The sequence below is a fragment of the Homo sapiens genome, chromosome 3 (assembly GCF_000001405.40).
Source record: "Homo sapiens chromosome 3, GRCh38.p14 Primary Assembly".
In the NCBI taxonomy this organism is placed as follows: domain Eukaryota; kingdom Metazoa; phylum Chordata; class Mammalia; order Primates; family Hominidae; genus Homo; species Homo sapiens.
The window spans coordinates 131,533,569-131,553,739 of NC_000003.12; the positions used below are offsets into that span (position 1 = coordinate 131,533,569).

The 20,171-nt window shown below is 40.1% G+C and overlaps 1 protein-coding gene across 10 annotated transcripts in view, besides 1 other annotated feature; it reads right to left on the reverse strand.

Annotated features, from left to right (window-relative positions):
* Positions 1 to 20,171, reverse strand: part of CPNE4 (copine 4) — a 506,038-nt gene continuing 485,867 nt past the window's right edge. For 9 of the 10 annotated variants that reach the window (NM_153429.2, NM_001388326.1, NM_001289112.2 and 6 more), the window contains 4 exons: positions 18,872 to 18,923; positions 16,379 to 16,512; positions 8,989 to 9,225; positions 1 to 1,761 (listed from right to left, as the gene is read on the reverse strand). In NM_153429.2, coding sequence (NP_702907.1) covers positions 1,627 to 1,761; positions 8,989 to 9,225; positions 16,379 to 16,512; positions 18,872 to 18,923 — 558 coding nt within the window. In that variant the 3' untranslated portion in view covers positions 1 to 1,626. Of the gene's footprint in view, positions 1,762 to 8,988; positions 9,226 to 9,963; positions 10,526 to 16,378; positions 16,513 to 18,871; positions 18,924 to 20,171 lie in introns of those variants that run through there. The other variant, XM_017005694.3, reaches the window with a different exon arrangement.
* Positions 20,012 to 20,071: a silencer, noted in NCBI's record as "silent region_14738". NCBI's record gives its function as "represses an Ori minimal core promoter by ATAC-STARR-seq in GM12878 lymphoblastoid cells {active_cell/tissue: GM12878}" and the evidence as "EXISTENCE:reporter gene assay evidence [ECO:0000049][PMID:35858748]".

Below are 20,171 nucleotides of genomic sequence, written 5' to 3' on the forward strand. Positions count from 1 at the left end.
TTCTGTAAGTACCCAATTTATTAATAAAACAATATAGCTTAAATATTTATGATTTTTTCAGTCATACAATTTTACCATCATTCCCAAAATGTTGTGCATTTGGTGACATGTATTTGCAAGATTAGGATCTATAATTGTAACTGTGGAAATCATAGAAGGCATTTTATTTGCTTGTTAATACTGCTCCCCTCTTCAAACAAACAACAAATTTTGCCTTGTGATTTACTTCTTCATCTCTCTGACCAAAAATAAACTCCACTTTGTGCCTTTTATGCTTGCAAAAACACTTGCCTGTTTCCCTGCAAGAAGATTATACAAGTTAAACATTCGTCCTTTTGGTTCCAGACTGGCCAGCTTATATTGAAACAAAACACCTCGACCCCAGACAATAATTCCAGGCATTTCTGCTTATAGAATTTGTTCTCAGAAGTGATAGAAAGGAGGCAAGAAATTCCCACACTAAGCTCAAAGGTCAATTTAGTGGACCAGATATCGGGAGCTGTACTGCATAGCCATTTGCCATGTGTAAGTTTCTATTGTTGTGGTTCCAGTGAAGACGCTTTGAGATCACTTCTAGGGATTGACACCATCCATGCAGTGGTGTGTGATGCCACTTTTAAGAGGGCAGGGACTGGCCAGGAGGAGCACTTTCTAGTCTTATCTAAGGAAGAGGTGTGAGTATAAAGCAGCGAGACTGATTTGAGGTGTGCAGCTTCTGGAGTCAGTCTCATTACTTTCTACTGTCACCTCTGGAGACAGGCAGGACTTTTGTGCTACTGTCAGGAAGAGGTGCCATTCTCAAGCAGACTAGAAGCCACGCTGTTTTTGATGGTCTCCATCATGACACCCTAAAGTCTAGATCCTCACTCCTCTTGGTATAGTCCAGGGACTGCATTAGCATCACCTGGGACCTAGTTAAAGATGCAGAATCTTGGGTCCCACACAGACCTATGTATCACAATCTGAATTTTAATAAGACTCTCAGGTGATTTGTGTACACAGTATAAAGTATGAGAGGTGCTGGGCTAGATGACCCAGACTTACCTCAAAAAGACTCACCTCAGAAAGAAGAAGTAAATAAACCTCTTCTTTAGTAGAGAGACCATTCTCAGCAGGGAGGAATTAGAGATAACAACTGCAAAAACCATGTGGGTTTTTCTTTTTTTATTTTAAACATGCAAAATACAGTCCATGCATCTGCCATTTTAAAAAGTCTCTCATCCTATAGCAGATAAAACCAAGTATATTTCGTCTATCAACATTCAGTAAATGTTTCAAAATGCTTTAGAGTGTAAAGATAAGAAATTTAGCAAAATTTCAACAAACCTGTATAAAAAATGGATACAGATACCATTTTATTTCAAGGCGACATGCTGTAATGTAAATAGTAAGTTATTGTTATCTGTGTTTCTTTGTAAAAAGTTAACAATACAAGGGCTTAACAGATCCAGGCCTCAGGGCTACACATGCAAAAAAAATTGTCAGATAGTTAAAAATCACCAAAACGTGCTATTTTTAAATGTGTATATGTTGTTGGTTTTTTAAAGTACAGGAGTAGTAGAAGTATTAAATATGAAATATTAGCAGGAATAGTATTTCAGAACTCTGTAAAACTGTGTGGGGAGTTCATGGTGCTAGTGTTCTGGAAGATTCATACATTTCTGATGAACATTTTGGTTTAATTCCTTTGCCATTGTAATAGTCCACAACTTGGTTTGGGACTTCAGCCAGCACGCTCTTTGCCAGGGCAGCTGGAGATGCCTGCAGGGAAGAAGAAATCATCATGACGTTGGCTTCTGGTCAAGGAATCAGACTCATCCTAAAAGATTTGAGTCCTGCTCTGGGCAGCTAAGTTTCATTCACTTTCATTCATTCGTTATTTGTCAAGGGTCTACTTCAAGCAATAGTTGTCAGATTGTTGGAAAATGGACCTTTAATTTCATTATTATATATTTTTATGCCTGTCTCAAACTATAAAACTATTTACATCTGAAGACGAGTAAAAGTTGGATGGGAGAATGAATTGTTCTGCAGTTTTATTTCTAATTTTCACTCAATTTTAGACACTTATTTATGTTCCAGGTGCCACACTAGGGTTTGAGGGTCTATGGTTCTTGCCTCAGGAAGGCTGTAATCACGAGGGGAACTAGGCATGGCCAATATTAACTATGAGGTAGAATATGACACATGCTATAGAGCAGCAGTGTCACATTACATGGGAGCTTATTAGCAATGTAGACTCAGACCCAACTCAGAGCTACTGAATCACAATCTGCCTTTTAACTTGACGCTCTAGTGATTCATATGCATATTAAAATTTGAGAAGCTCTTCTCTAGAGAATCACAAACAGTGAGGCCAGGGCATAAAAAACATAGAGACTAACTTATCTTGGAGGCTTCTAAGAGGAGGTGGCTTTTAAGCTGAGCATATTTTAATACATAGAGAAGGGGTAGGGGAATGGCATTTGACCATCATAGGCATAGTGAGTTACCTGATGGAGCTGAAGGAAGTGTGTATGGCAGGTGGGGGACGAGGGGGTTTAGGGGTAGTTGCAGGATTGGTTGGGCATTTGGTTGGAAAATTGGCTTGAGACCAGGTGATGGAGAGTCTTGAATACCACACTAATTCATTTAGCCTTTATTCTATCAGCCTTATGGATCTACTGCATGATTTTGGGGTAGGGGCACAGGAGGACCATGTGATTTATGGTGATGATTCTGTAGCAGAGAAAGGTTGAAGCTGATATCATACATGGACTCTGGAGTCATGTAGAGCTGGGCTTTACTCCTGGCTCTGGCATTTAGTATTAACTGTACAACCCCTGGGCAAGCAATTTCAATGGCCTGAGCCTCATTATTAACTATTATTGAAGAGATTGAAAACTTGAGGCAGACTTAACAAGTGTTTGAGATTCCAAAAGAAAGAGGGCTGGACTGAATACCATGTGACCTGGTTTTCAGTTTTTTCTTTTCTATGTGGCTTGCCACTTGGCCATTTAACTTTACTAAGCCCCGCTGTTCTTAGAGGCAAAAGAGAAAAGAAAAATAATTCACTCTATCTCACAGAGTCTCAAAATAAGAGACATGTATCTTTTAAGCAATCTGAAAACACTGTAAAGAGTTTTTCTCAAGTGATCTTTCACATTTTGAAGATGTCATAGCATGATGGACATTTGTGATCTACAGATATCCCTTTATTTTATAAATAACTGCTCAGGGTTGTGTGTTAGACCATGGTCCATGTGTATACTGGGGCAGATACAAAAGTCATTTATACCCTTTCCTCCCTGGCTGTTTCTCATACAAAGGTTAGAAAGTCAAATCCTTGATTTTCCAGCTTCCTTTACATCTAGGGATAACAATATGACCCAATTCCATCCTTTGAGATATAAGTGAAAATTTCCTGGGGGAGGTTTTTTGGAAAGCTTTTCTCTCCTGGTTAAAAGTTAAAAGACTTTTCCCTTGTGAAAAGTCTTCAACAATACAAGAGTTTAACAGATTCTGGACTCAGGGCTACACATGCAAAAAAAATTTCAGATAATTAAAAATCACCAAAATGTGCTATTTTTAAAGGTGTATGTATTTTTTTAAGTACAGGAGTAGTAAAAGTATTAAATATGAAATATTAGCAGGAGTAGTATTTCGGAACTCTGTAAAAGTGTGTGGAGGTCATGGTGCTAGTGTTCTGGAAGACTTGTACATTTTTTCTTTTCTGTTTTTTTTTTTTTTTTTTGAGATGGAGTCTCACTCTGTCACCCAGGCTGGAGTGCAGTGGTGCGATCTCAGCTCACTGTAACCTCCGCTTCCCGGATTCAAGCAATTCTCCTGCTTCAGCCTCCAGAGTAGTTGAGATTACAGGTGCCCACCACCGTGCCCAGCTAATTTTATATTTTTAGTAGACATGGGGTTTTACCATATTGGCCAGGCTGGTCTCGAACTCCTGACCTCAGGTGATCCGCCCGCCTCAGCATCTCAAAGTCCTGAGATTACAGGCGTGAGCCACCGCACCCAGCCCTGAAGACTTGTACATTTCTGATGAACATTTTGGTTTAATCCCTTTGCCATTGTAATAGTCCAGGACTTAGTTTGGGACTTCAGCCAACATGCTCTGGACACAGTTGGCCCTATGTCCCTTTCCTCTTCCTTTCTATCTTGAAATAGAATGTGATTACTGGAGCTATAGCAACCATTTTATCATTATGTAGGAAGAGCAAAGGGAATCACAATGTGCTGGCTCTGACACTATTGAATCACTGACTCCAGCAGCAATGAGCCCCTAACTTCTAGCTACATGAGAAAAATACGTTCTATTTGTATAATCCAGGGTTTCTCAATCTTGACACTATTGACATTTGGGGCTGAATAATTCTTTGTGTGGGGGACTGTCCGGTGCACTGCAGGAAGTTTAGCAGCATCCTTGGCCTCTACCCACTAGATATGAATAGAAGCCCCATATTTGTTACCATCAAAAATGTCAGATATTCCAAAATGTTTCCTGGGGCATAATGTTACCCTTGGTTAAAAACCATTTATGTAATCCCTGTAAGATGGATTTACTGTTGCTTGCAGCAAAAAATATTCCTAAACCAGGCTGTCAAATAGATCTTCCTCTGATGATGGTAATATTCTATATCTGTGCTGTCCAGTATGGGAGGTCTTAGTCTCACGCAACTATTGAGTCCTTGAAATAAAGCAAGTCTGACTGAGGAACTGAGTTTGAAATTTTATTTTCTCTTAATGAATTTAAACGTAAGTAGCTACATGTGGTTAGTGGCTACCATATTGGACAGCATTGTTCCCAAAGGATCCCCCATCCCCTTGCATATCTGTGCTGGCAAGCAAATAAGGCTTTGGGGACATGTATTGGGTGGGAAAGGGTCAAGAATATGAATGAAGCTGGTAATAACAGTAATAAAAGCTTTATTTATTAACCACCTACATGGACCAGGCACTATCTTAAGCTTTATATAGACAACACCTTATCTTTGCAATGCATGTATCATTTACCTCATTTTATAGATGAAAGTCTGTGGCATGGAAAGGTTAAATAACTTGCCCAGAGTCACAAAGCTTAAAGCATATGATAGTTTGAGTGTGTCTCCTAAATTAATGTGCTGGGAACTTAATGATCAATGCAACAGGGTTGGGAAGTGGGGCCTCATAAGATGTCAGTATCATGGGAGCAGGTTAGTTATCATGAGAGTGGGTTGTTATAAAAGAGAGTCTGCCCCTTGTGCTTTCCTTCTCCTTGTGTCTTACATGTTTGCTTGTGCCTTCCATACTTCTGCCATGAGATGACCCTTGTAGGTGCTGGTGCTATGCTCTTGGACTTCCCAGACTCCAAAACCATGAGCCAAATACACTTCTGTTCTTTATCCAGTCTATGATATTCTGTTATATGAGCAGGAAAAAAGACCATAACATAACTTGTGCCCTGTAAGCTCTAAAGCTCTGAGTTATCATGCAGAGCAGAAAAAGAGAGGCAATTCATGAGTTAATGGCTTACATAAAATGATTTAAGCTGCTACCTTCCCTTTTATTTATGGCTTATTGAATTCAAAGTAGATTAGTTTGGGTAATGAAATGGATTTCAAAATCTGATTTGAAATCCATGAAGATAAGATGGGTGAGTATGCGCCTGGTGTTCTTCCTTGGTCATTCACAGAGCAGCCAGAGAATCTGTGTAGCACAGAGACTGTGAGCAGCACCCTACTTCCTTGCTCTGCCCTGAGCATTCCTCTTGTTGACAATGTCCCCAAAATTCCCTGCTCTCCAAGGCTCTGTCTTTCCTCAAACACTTAACTTAAGCTGTAAGCCTTTTCCCATGGCTACCTCTCTCTGCTTTGAGGTCCTGTAACAACATTTTAATTCTTCTCAACCACCCACAGGTTGCTTAGCATGTGATTTTTCTGCTAATACCTTTCTCCCAGTCATGCAATTCTCCAGTAAATGTCTTGAGGTGTGGATCCATGGTTCTATCATTTCATTGTGGTCCTAGTGACTAGCATGTGCCTTGCACAGAACAAGCATTCTGTAAGTGTTTTGGGGAAGAGGAGGAGACTTGAGGGTAGAGGTTAGAACCTTTCATAGTTCAGTGACATTGTGTCAGCACACAAGTGTGTGTGGGGAAGTGGGGAGGTGGGGGATGCAGAGGGGAGAGAGGGTGATTTGGGGAAGTTAATGAATCTCCTAGAGAGTGAACTCTTTGATCCTGCTGCACTATGCAAAGTTATCACTGGTATTCAGTGATGTGTCTATCTATTTTGTCTGTCTGAAAAGAATGCAGCATTAAAATCAGGAAGAACACCCTTTCCTCCATCTTAGACACCTAGGGAGAAACTAGCTTCATTAATGAACATAATTGCAGCAAATTTAGCCTGCTCTAGCTCATCCGTCTGTAAAGAATACTACTTCTTTTTGACTCTACTCCTTGCTGTCCATAGGCAGACAACTTTAGGGCTTAGTGCATCTCTTTCATTAATGAGTACCTTTATTTGAAAATCTCTTCCTAGGGAAACTTGAGGATGGCATATAACAACACAATTACCCCTCATCCACATGCACAGCCCTGGGAGCTTGTGGGAAGATTGACTGCTGTTGCTGTTACTTAGAAACTCTCTCTGTGATCAACTCTGTAGCCAGGGATTGGTTTTCTGCTCCTTCAGTGATTTTAATTACACTGCAGCCCTCCTTAAAAGTAGAGTAGTAATTGTGTGGCAGTACAGTTATGAACAATACCTCATCATCCAAGGAGCCTTGGAATGTGCAGTTACTTCCCTATGAAGTCTGGGCAGGTCATGAAATACAGAGTTCAGCTGAGGCTGCTGAGCTGGTGATCTATCTGAATTCTTATTTTAAAGCCTGTCCAAAGAAAGTGGCACAACAAACAGCAATTTCTGAAGAGCATATGCTAAAGGCTCTCACACTAGGACTGGTACCAGGATTACAGTCAAGTATGTATGGGGGTGGGAGGATGGATGGATCATTGTTTTGATGATCCATTTAGCTTTCCACCTCTCATCTGCAATTTCCTTACACAGTATAGGTGAGAGTCCAGTGTGAACCCAAGTTGGGAGTCAGATGTGTCTGGATATATCTGATAAACTCAGTATGAAGAATGTCAGGGATTCATTTGAATGAGTTTTTGACTGGAGGAGAAAGGCTTTACCAAATAAGGTTGAAGTGGAGGGGATGGCATCCTGCCTGACCCAAATAACTGATTTGAGCCCTATGCAGGGAGGGACTGCAGTGGAAGTTAATGAAGATACTTTCCAGCAGGGGTCTTTGAGATGTGGAGACACATCTCACTGCATTAATGACTCAGGTGACAGAGGGGACTCGGTAGCATGGAAAGGAGAGGATTCTCTTCTTTTCCAAGGAGACCACAGATAAGCTTCACGGTACTGAAGGTTCTGAAGATTCCCTGTTGCCAGGGCAGCTCAAGTTTAGTCACCAGCCCTGGGGATGGTATTGTTGGCATCTGCAGCAGTGCAGAGGGCAAGGCCTCAGTGGAAAGTAGGGGCTGGGCATATGCTCTCCTCTTGGGTGGCTTTCACAAGAAGCACAAAACAAAAAACACAAAGGCTATCCAGTAATACCCAAGTTACCCCCACAGGTGCCTAGACACAGCTAGGATACTCTAGAGGGGTCTTCAGGACTACCATTAGCCCCAAGGGAGGCTTTTATGAATTCAAGATGTCCTTCTGGGTGATTACAGCTCAGTAGGTGCAGGGATTTGTGGAAATTTAAAAAATGCTCCTTCCTCCATGGACACAATGTATCAAAACCTGGGAAGGTGGGAAAATTGTTACTGAGCATTTTTTCTATGTCATACTAGAGCATTGTCTAATGGTTCTGCCTCAAGGCCCTTGGGGAATGCAATGCTGCTTGACTGACTTACTATTTCTTACTGGTAAGAGCCCAAGACTGTAAAGTTAGGTATTAATTTATAGAAAACTGATAGCAGGCGATTTCTGGCCCACAGAGAGGGCAATTCAAAGATTACTTTTTTTTTTTTTTTTTACCCTCTTGGTCATTAATCAGTTTTCAATCTACCTTAGCAAACTTATTCAGCATTTTTTCCCACTGACTTTAACTGTCTTATTTATTTACTTTTTTTGAAACCAACTCTCACTCTCATCACCCAGGCTGGAGTGCAGTGGTGTGATCTCGGCTCACTGCAACCTCCACCTCCCTGATTCAAGTGATTCTCCTGCCTCAGCCTCCCGAGTAGCTGGGATTACAGGCGCCTGCCACCACGCCCAGCTAATTTTTGTATTTTTAGTAGAGATGGAGTTTTACCATGTTGGTCAGGCTGGTCTCAAACTCCTGACCTCAGGCGATACACCCACCTTGGCCTCCCAAACTGCTGGGATTACAGGGGTGAGCCACTGCACCCAGCCTTATATACTCTTTTGAACTAACTTTATCATCTTGTTTTGAAGGAGTTAAATAAATTTTTGATGCTGCTTACTATATTTTTTATAGAGGATTTAGGTTTCTATCATTTTGGAAATATACTTTGCCAAGGCAAACACAGACTTCTGCCAGGCCACATAGCTTGACAAGCAAAACATAAGCTGCATTTCAGTTTCTGCTTGGTACTTTGGGCAGGCACCTTTAGGCAGGGAACAAGCTGCCCATCTGTAGGCAGTCCTAGATGCACTAGAGATCCTAAATTATATGAATTATAGGGCAAGCATCAGTGAAATTTTGCCTACAATAGTTAGCATGGCTCCTGATCTGTAACTCAATTTATAATTTTTTTCTCCAAAGAGTCATGCTCTATATATCCTTGTTGTGGGAGATGACGTGGCCCAGGAAGGGATAGCTAAGCCAGGTCATCTCCCACAGCAAGGGTATGTAGAGCATAGCTGGTGTTGCTTCAAGAATGGTGGATCACCATAAACATTGGTGGACAAATGTGGGAGGTGAGCATGCTTTGGTTCTGCTCTTCCATGAAAAGTGCCCCAATGTGTATATGCATACGTGTTTGAAGTTCCTGAAGGGCACGAACTGGACGATGTCTCGAAGAACAGGCTCTCCCTTGGGTGACCTCAGAATCCCATCATCACCGTCCAGCATCTGCATGTCACTGAAGTCAGCGTTCCCTACTCCCACGATGATGACTGACATGGGGAGGTGGGAGGCATGGACAATGGCCTCCCGGGTGTCGGCCATGTCTGTGATAACACCATCTGTCAGGATCAGCAGGATGAAGTATTGCTGCAGTCAGATGCCCCATGATGATGGGGGGGGGTGAAGAGGTGAGGGAGACAAGGACAATACAATACCAGTTAGACACCCAGGTGGCCTCACTGCACATTGACCAAAGCAACAGTGATGACAGACATTTTTTGAATGTGCTGATAGTCCTAAAGGCTTAGGGTTCTGATGAATGGAGCTTAAAGGTAGGCATGGCAATTATAGCTTAATTATAATAACTACCTCACTGACAGTTACAAAGAAAGAGCAGCAGGCCAAGAGTTAGGAGGACAGGCTTCAAAGCCTCATTCTGTGAGACCCTGGGACGATCCCTTAACTCGTCTGTGTCTGAGCTTCTTCATTTCTCAAATGAGGGGTGGGACCCAATAATTTATATGATCTTCTTTACTTGAAGATATTTAAAAATCTAAAGCTATGACATCCAATACAATGATGACTAACCCCATGAGACTACTCAGCCCTTGAAATGTGGCTAGAGCAAGTGACGAACTGAATTTTATATTTTATTTAATTGTAATGAATTTAAATTTAACATTAAAATTGGATAGCCAATTCAGTTATTAGAAACATTTTAAGTATGTTTGGAACAACTTCAGTAGATTAATCTACTTTTTCTTTCTTTGTAACTGTCAGTGAGGTAGTTATTAAAATTAAGCTGTAACTATAAAATCTAAACAAAGATCAAGTATTTATGATAACTTAGCATCCAAATTGACATGCTGTAAGTATAAAATACATGTGGATTTTGAAGACTTATTATACAAAATAGAATGCAAATTATTTCATTAATAATTTTTTTATATGGAGTACATGCTAAAATGACAATATGTTGGCTATGTTGGTTTAAATAAAATATATAATTAAAATGGATTTCTCTGTTTCTTTTTACTTTTTAAAATACAGTTACTGAAGAATTTAAAACTGTATACATAACTTGTGTTATATTTCCACTGGATGGCACTAGTCTAAAGTCCTGCTATAAGAGGGTCAGGGTTGCAGTCTCTCCCTCTGAAGGCCATGTGCCACAAAGGTGGCAGCTCTTCTCCAGGCACACTTGCAGAAGGTTGCAGTGCTCCCATGGCTTCCTGCTTTAAGTCCTGACTTCTGGCCTGCAGCCTGCCTGGCCCCTTTCCATCTGGAAAGCTGGAAGATGACTCAGCAGAGATGGGAATTGGAGGAAAGGTGCTGTACTCAGCAGCACAGGGAAGCCTTGGAAAGTGCTCTGGGGCCTGGAGAAGGATGACCCATTGGAGGTCATCATTATTTTTAGTCAACATGAGAGGCATCATGATGGCCTTTACTGGTAAGAGGAAAGAGAAGCAGATTAGTCAGATGCAGCTCAGGCTAAACAGAAAAGAACTTTCAATATAATCCTGCAAGATGCCTAACATTTATAGGTAGTAAGAGTGAGATTAAGCCATTCCACGTTACCATACTTCAAAGGAGAAAGATTGGATAGAAGAGTGACATTTTGAAAACATCTGATTTTGAGAATCATATACTTAATGTTGCAAATAGTTTGGTAGTACTAAAGAATTTCATTTTTTTTCTGTGAGCCTGAAAAAATGTTTTAAATGAAAAATGTAAGCTGGAGGTAGGTGAACTTCACACTGTGATGAAGATAGCCACATGTTCTGAATGCTTTTCATACAGTCTAATGTAAAGGCTAATTCTGTTCCATGTCCATTAACTAACCACTCACCCCTAGTCCTAGCTGAATTCCCAGTTTGGTTTTCAGATTCATTCAAGTTGTATGTTTCCTTCTATGTCTGTATTTTCTGAGTTGTATATGTTCACAAGGAAGTTGGCTTGAGAGTTTAGAGAAGGCTTTCAGTAGGATGAAGTGATGGAGGTGGTAGGGAGGTGCAGAGAGAAGCGGCAGAAAGAGGCAATGTTGGTGGTTTGGGGATGGAGGGAAGGAGTATAGGACATACCAGAATCATAAGTCACCCTCTCTAGAGTGCACCTGGAAGACCAGGGCAGGTGGCACATCCAAAAAGAGATTACTTCTGATTCATGAGCAGGTGGGCCCTCGAGTGAATCACACTTCTGTGTCTCCTACCTTTATCCTCTACCTTCCCCTAACTCCTGTCTGATCTGATCTTAGAGTTCAGTGGATGAATCTCCCCTACCTGATAAATGCCTTAAGAAATAAAACAACCTGATAGTCATACTACCACATTGAGAAACTTTAGAGTCGTAATGTTCTACAGCAGAGGTCAGGAAACTATTTTTTGTCAAGGGACATTAATAAGTATTTTAGGCTTTGTAGACCATAATGGTCTCTGTCACAACTACCTAACACTGCCACTGTAGTGTGAAAACAGCCATAGACAATATTTAAAATGAATATGAGAGGCTGTGTTCCAATAATATTTTATTTATGGACACTGATTTTTAATGTCACAAAATCTTCATATGTCACAAAATACAAATATTATTCTACTTTTGATTTTTTCAACAATTAAAAAATCTAAAAACCATTCTCAGCTTGCAAGCCATTGAAAAACAGTTTAGTTTAGTTATAGTTTATTGACTGCTGATCTAAACTAGGGGTTCTTAACCTGTCTCCATGGACTACTGCAAGATTTAAGGCAGTCTGTAAACTTGGGGTAAATTACATTTTTATTTTCACTAATCTCTAAGTAAAATTTATCATTTTTTCACTATAAGTGTAATCAACAAATCAAATTAATATTAGTTCTACTTGTGGCTTAGTTATTAATAAAAAAACACATATTTTCCTGTTATATTACAGTACCTACATATATTTCAATGTATTATTTATGTTTAACACAACTTAGAAATTACAGAATTATTAGACAAACTACTGGTTCTCATAATTTAAAATGTAAATACAGAAGCATTTTATTACTGTATTTATGATGTCTCCATCTTCCTTTTAAAAAATATTTTGCTAACTGCATTTCAATATAATTGGTTTACTTTATAATATGGGTCTTATGTTGTACATTTAAAAATACTTCTGGCTGGGTGCAGTGGCTCACGCCTGTAATCCTAGCACTTTGGAAGGCCTAGGTGGGCGGATCATGAGGTCAGGAGATCAAGACCATCTTGGCCAACATGGTGAAACCCTGTCTCTACTAAAAATACAAAAATTGGCTGGGCGTGGTGGCACGTGCCTGTAATCCCAGCTACTCGGGAGGCTAAGGCAGGAGAATCATTTGAACTAGGGAGTCAGAGGTTGCAGTGAGCTGCCACTGCACTCCAGCCTGGCAACAGAGCAAGACTCCATCTCAAACAAAACAAAACACAAAAAACCACACACACAAAAAAACACAAAAAACCACTTCTGAGAAGGGATCTATGAACTTTATCAGCTGCTAAAGGGGTTTGTGGAACAATAAGTTTAAGAACTCCTGGTCTGAAGAGATTGTCAGGATTCTGGAATCTGATCCTGCCAGGTTTCATCTAGCTAAAGGCACTAGGCTGTAGACTGCAGGATCGAAACCTGATAGAAATTTCCAATAAAGCAAACAATAACAGTTCCTTCTAAAGTCAGACTGGGAAAATGCTCATGGATGAAATATTATAGTCTTTGAATATACTTGAGGTCCTGTTTAGATAAAGAGGGGCATTTTTTACCTGGAAGAGTTCCACAAAATCAAGGGGAAAATCCTATAGCAACAGACTCCCTGGCACAGCTTGCCAAAGATGTTCAAGTTTATGACCCTTAGAGATAACAAGGGACTCTGGACCACAGACTTTTCAAAGAACAGGAGAAACCTCTGGGGAAAAGCTTATGTTCTTGGTCTATAGGGGTAATTTATATGGAGATGTGTGGGTTGGATGCTTCTTACTTGTAGTCCCATTTAATGACCTGTCCTTTCATTGCAGACCCAGCTATCCCTGAGGGAGTGAGTGATGGCCAAAAACTCATGCTGTTCTATATCAGCCTGAAATCCAGACCTTTGTTAGTTCTGTTCTCTTTTTAGCCATGTGAGTCCTGGTACCCCAGAGGGGATGAGATCATCCAATTTTTAAACTGGGCCCCAGGGAGCCCTTAGGGATGCCTTGGATGCTCTTGAGGATAAGGGAGCTAAAGAGAATGGACAAGTTTCTGACTCTACTCCTTAGACCAAATTTGGCAAGAATAGTGTATTTTTTAAGTCTATTTTATATGTTGAGTTTCTAAGCAAGTTATCATTTGAAGAATTGGTTCTGGTGCTGAAAAAAGGTTAAAAAATAAAATAAAATAATGGTCACATCCAAACCTTATTCCTAAATCTTGCATCTATGAAGGTTCAAATTTGCTCCAAGACCTCTGTGGTCAGAAAGAGATGCATTTGGGGAAGCCTTTGCAGGGCCCACGCACTGGTGGAAATGTTGGTCTATAATCCTGAGAAGTGTTGGTGGTTAGCCAGATGCATTGGCTCATGCCTATAACCCCAGAACGTTGGGAGGCTAAAGAAGGAGGATTGTTTGAGCCCAGGAGTTTGAGACCAGCCTGGGCAACATAGCAAGACCCCACCTCTACAAAAAATATAAAAATTAGCTGGGCGTGGTGGCACATGCCTTTGGTCCCAGCTATTTGGGAGGCTGGGGCCAGAGGAATGCTTCAGCCCAAAAGGTTCAAAGCTGTAGTGAGCCATGATTGTGCCACTACACTTCAGCTTGGGTGATAGACCAAGACCCTGTCGCAAAAAAAAAAAAAAAAAAAAAAAAAAAAAAAAAAAAAAAAAAAAAACCTAATAGTGTTCATGGCTTCTGAAAAGAAGAGGAAAAATGAGCAGAGAGGAGTCATGATTTTCTTAGCTTTCACACCTGGAAAAGACTTGGCTTGGATTAAATCCTCAGCATTACTGCTGGACAAGATCTCAGCTTACAGAGTGTCTCTGCCCAGCATAAAGGCTAATATATCCACAGTTTTATATATTCACTATTCTAAAGTAATTATTTGAAGTAACACACACTTAGCTCCCCAGGGTCTCCAGTCCTTTTCACAGTCAAACCACCGGTTAGTGATTTCAAGAACATGATGTAATGAACAGAGGAGATGAGAGAACATGCCCCACAGATCAGACCCATTTGTTTCTTATGGATAGCTATGGGTCACCTGATGGATGTTGTGTAGCAGATTGAAACTGTGGTCAACTATGTTAATAAAAGGACATGGAAAAATTATGAGTCTAAAACAAAATTTTGCTTCAAACTTCCTATTCCCTTGTAGGAATTGCTCATGTCACTCAATGACCCAAGCCCGGAGTAGCTGAAGATGATAATGAGATGTATGGAAGGGCCAGTGGACTGAACCAAAGACATGCAGTGACTGTTGTTCTCTCTAGGGACCTTGGGAATTTGGATCTTTTTAAGTAGGAGAGACTTCAAATTATAATGAAAACAGGAACACTGTATTTTCTGGCGTACAAGATGTGCAATATTTAAGATACACACCAGTTTTACAAAAGAAAATGTAAAGTACTTTTCATTATATATATATATGAAAAGTAGAGTGGCTTTATATGCGTTCTTTAAGTAGTATTTATTAAGCATGTACTGTGTGCAGGCATTGTTTTGTGTACTAGGGATATACTAGTGAACAAGTCTTATTGTAGAGCTTCCATATGAAAGTAGAGAGACATAAAATATACAGGTTAGTAGATGCACCTAAAATATTTCAGATGATGATGGGTACTAAGAAGAAAAGTAAAGCTGAGACATGGTGCGGGTGGGTGGGTTGGCTATTTTAGATAAGGTAGCCAGGGGGAACTTTCAGAGGGGTTGAGAGTTGAGAAGAGATGTTAACACAGTCAGAGAATGGATCATATGGAGGTTTGGGTGAGAGAAACCCTGGCAGGGGAACAGTAAGTGAAAAGGCCTCAAGGTGGGAATATATTTGGTGTGTTTGTGGAACAGCAAGAAGGTCAGTGTGGCTGAAATATAGGGAGCGAAAGAGAAAATGATAAGAATTAAGATCAGAGAGGTAGGCAGAGATTAGATCCTATAATGTCTTCTAAGCCATATCAGGGAATTTAGATTTTACTCCAAGTATGATGAGAAGTATTAGAGAATTTAGAACAAAGGAATGCTGCAATACTAATTATATTTTTAAAAGATCAATCTGGTTTCTGCATGGAGTGCAGATTATAAGTGGGAAAAAGTTAAGGACAGTAGCTAAAGGGCAAAGCAGAGTCAAGGGGGAGATATTAACTTAAAGCAGGAGATATTATTGAATGAGTACTTGTTAATGGGAATGAGTCTTCAGTACAAAGGGAAGTAGAAAAGAAAACAATAGATGATAGGAGAAAGAGCGAGAATATAACTGCAGAGTCAAAGTTCCTGGATAATTCAGAGATGTGCTCAAGTACACAAAAGAAGATGTTGACATGAGGTAGGAGCATGGTCCTCCATCCATTCTAACATGAAGGAAGGCTGAGAACATGAAGACAGTGCAAGAAGGTTAGATGAATTGATGTAAGAAGATAAGGGAGTAGTATTTTTTTAAATAAAAACTCAGTACCCAGGATAAAATTACAGAGCAAACTTCAGACATTGGTAATATTCCACTAAATCTGGAAAAAATCATAAAGCTAAAAAGACATGTATTAATGTTATTAAAATAAATACAGAAGTTATTGTGGTAATATATTTACTTCTAAAATATTAGGGGCAAAACTCAAACTCTGGTCTTGGTTTGCATTTTTCTTAAGAAAAGCAATAGAATATGAAACCAATTTTTGCTGTGATGTTTTGTGCTGCTGCGCTTTACCACCAGGAGGCAGAATCATCCATTGTTTTACTTCCATGGTGCTTTGCTTCCATCTGTAGTATGGGTACCTTAAAAAGCAAGCTTATTTTTAAACCTTTCTTTTTTCTTTTCAAGGACAGGAGGTGGATATGACATACTTTAGTGAATATAGTAGCTTCCATTGTTGAGTTTCTCCTGTGTTCAGACAATGTGGTAGACATTTGACATGTGTCATCTCTTAGCCTCACAACCCAGCAAAGATGGGTTTGATTATCCCCATGTTTCAGATGTCAAGACTGAGGATAGGAGGAGGTTAAGTCATTTGTCCAAATTCACACAGGGAGAAGTGTTGGAATTTATTGTTAGAGTGAGATGGGTCTTACGGCCAATATCCAGGTGAGGAAGAGTAAGCTCCCCTTAGGAGGCAAATAGCCCCCTCCTTACCGATGCCTCCTTGGTGTTAGTTTCCTCTGACGCTGACTTGGCAACCTTCTGGATGATGGGGGCAATGTTGGTGGGACCGTAGAGTTGGAGCTTAGGAAGACAGCTCTGATAGGCTTCCACAACTCCTTGAATTCCTGAGGTGAAATTGGCAAAGATCAACAGCTCCAGAGTCACTCCAAATATATTTATAGCCAAACACACACAAAAGTAAAGCATTAAATATCCCAAATAGTCCTTATCAACATCATGTTTATGTTCTTAAGATAAAAAGGAATACCACATTGCTAGTGTTGCTGTCTCCTTCCCCACTGAAATCATTCTCCTCTTTAAAAGCTAAAGTCAAAAGCAACGATTTCCACAAAATTTTCCCTAATATCCTACTTTATATATAAGATTTCATTCGCTCCTCATAGCATAATGAAATAGATGTTATACCCATTTTATAGGTGAAGAAACAGAGGCTTAGAGATGTTCAATGATCTGCCCTGGGTCACATAGCAAGTGTGTTCAAGACTCAGGATTTAAACTTGGGTCTGCCTGGCTCTAAGCACTGTGTTCTTAGCCACTAGCAAGCTAGCTTCAATGTTGCACTTGTTTCCACACGATCTTGTTGACTCTAGTAGATACTACCCGTGCCCTCTATAAGAGTCAGGAGTTCCCATGACCATCTCTCCAGATGTTATACTCTGCGGGCAGGAATCATGACTTACTTATTTTTTGTATTTCCCCAAAGAGCTTGAGGCAGTATCGAGCAAATGTAATGCTCACCAAGTGTGTGATGAATGAGCAAAGTGGCTGATATACTCATCTCCTGGGCACTGAGTACAGATAAGTGATGGTTATCATCACGGACAACCCCTCATTTAAAAGGGGGCTTCCATCCTGAGGCCATATGAGCCCAGGAAATAGAAAAGGATGGGACTCTGCCAGGAGAGGCAGTCCTATCTATACAGCTTCTCCTAGTACTTGATACATCTTGACTGTACATTTCATGTTATCATTCTGATCCCACAGCAATAATCTCATTACAAATGATTTTTATTCAAATGGCTTCTCTTGTTGTCTGTGCCTGTGTTATTGCTTGCCTTCCCCTATTCAGCTTATCCTTCTATCCCTTTCTATTCTGAAATAGCACATTAGTCCTGTTTTTGGCCAGAGGGATCCACACAATTCCCTCCTGAGATTATTCTCCATAACCACCATGCACTGCAAAATAGCTCTTGGGTATTTTAGATGAGCAAGTTCTGTTCTGTTCTGCCCTTACATACATGCTCCCAACCTCATTGGCAATCCTGCACCCACTTGGCCCTGCCCCAAAGCCTATCATTCTAAAGACAGATGCCAAGTCATTTTGCAGTCTGGTTCTGAAGTTAAGTGATGCTGAATAGAAGCTCCTTATGTTTTTTTGGTTCTTGAGCTTTTGCCTAAGATAAGCAAGTTTGATTTCCTCTTGAAAAGTATCAGGCAGATGAATTCTAAGAGTATAAAACAGGTGAATACCAGGGTTTATATTTCATTCTGCTGTGGGGGAAACCACTCTTACAGTTGCAGAATGGGGGTGGTTGGGGATGAGGAAAGTCTAATCCATAATAAACTGAGGATGAAGAATACATTAGTGGAAAAAATGGCAGAATGGAGATTGGGTCTTGGAGGTTACTGTGTTCAGACTCAATGGTATTGATATCATATTCTTGGCCATTAACTGCTAGATGCCTTACACACTCTACTGGATCTGAATTAATCCTGATTTAGCCTCCTTCCTCCTTGACAAGAAGAGAGAGATATGGACATTTCTAATGCAAAAATGTCTTATGATCTTCATAGCAACATAGGTACTTGGCTCTGTTAGAAAACAGAAAAAATCATTCTAGAACAAAATTTATTATAATAATTATTATCATAGTTTCAATATCATTATTTTGTGAAATCATGTCAGAGAATTCTGGCTGGAAACAATGGAACATGAACCAGAACCTTTGAGCAGGCTTTCTCTGGCACAAAGCCATGATGCTGCTTGTTCAAACTCGCTGAGGCCATGTCCTTGGCCGATATGCCGAAAGTGGGAAATGATTTCCATGTTCCCCCCTCTCCTTATATCGGCACAGAGATGAAGTTGTGAAAAAAAAAAAAAAAAAACACTTGATGAAAATTTGGAAAACAGAAAGAGGGATATTGTATCACTGCCTACCAGGTGAAGTTTCATTTATTATTATTATTATTATTATGGCCCAAGGAATCCCAGACTGGGATCAACATTATTGCCATACACTCAAGACCACCTCTTCTGCATTCTGTCTTTTCCAGTTCTTATTTTCCTGCTCTGTTATCATGGCTTTCTCTTGCCTGTGGAGTAGCATGGTTTATGTTGATACAGAAAGCAGAGATTCTGTGGACAATCGTAACTAATATGCTACACCAGCAGAGATGAACTAAAATGGGAAAGCTGCAAAGGGAAGGACTGTGACACTGGCTTTCTTTCACGTTGTGCTTTACCTGCACATTCTGGGTTGTCTTCATTAAAGTTGATTGCAAAGTCATGAGAGACCTAGACACCGATTAAAATTTAAAAAACAGGAAGAAAGAAGAATTACAACTTTAATCCAGTAAGAAGGCACTGGGGTTTAGAGTTTGCAAACAAATGCCCATTATATTCATTATGTGTTAAGCAGCAGGAACCATTTCAAGCCTTTACACAATCAATATGAGATGGAGGGTGAATTCTAAGCTCCCTGTGGAGTTGAGGTGACAGGAATATTTTCTAGAATCAGATAAATGCTGTCAGGAGGGGAGAATAAGGCTTATAAAAAAATCCAAGAAAAGATTTCAGAAAGATAACTTTGAATAGCTGCTAGTTAGAACTGGCCACAGACTGGAGGCTTAGATTTGGCTGAGCTCTATTTGGACCCAGTGATTAAAACAAAAATAAAAACAAAAAAACTCAATAACCCAAGCTGTCTGCTGAAGATAGCGATGGTTATAAAAGCTTCAGCTAAGCAGTTGACACTTAAGAATCATTAACATGATATGCAGAACTACAGGGCAGGAGGATTTTCACATACCTACAGGTAAAACAGACTGCACTCTACTTTTGGAAACATAGTAAAGTAATATACTTTGTAATATTTCAACACAAATTCCTCTACCTGGCAGAACCTATGCACAAGGTCAAATAACATATTGTTTACTTTTTTCTTTCCGAAAACCTGATAAAACAAGATAGATGTTCTGGCATCTGGACATTTTTATTGAATCATTTGGTATTTTATGGAGAATTTCATTTCAAAGGATATTTCCAAGCTCTGACTCTTTTGGGTATCCATAAATTAGGTCACTGTGTTAAAAGACACCTGTTTTCTTAGTGGGAGGTGATCGGTGATGCTCTCAGTGCTTATCCTAGTCCCTTGCTCTTAGCACTTCCAGGTAAGCCAGCTGACTTCAGTCATCTTATTTGCTTTGTTTACCTTAAGTTTTTTCTTGGCCTCCAGGGCCTGCCTTGCTTGCCCAAGTGACAGGCTAAAAGTGACCCTTGGGAGTAATCAGTAATTAACAGGAGGTGATGTATACATATCCCAGCTCCCTTATCCCTTGGGGTCCATGTGTGCTGTATATTGTCTCCTAGGGTTCTTCAGCAGAGTTAAGCACCAGTTGCCAACAGCGGTAACTGACTTGATAATATACTCTGTGCTGACTTCCACTTCCCAACCTCTATTGTGGTTTCCCTCACCTTTTAAATAAACTATTTGCATCCAAACCCTTGTCTCAAGATCTGTTTCTGAGAAAGTGCTAACTAAGA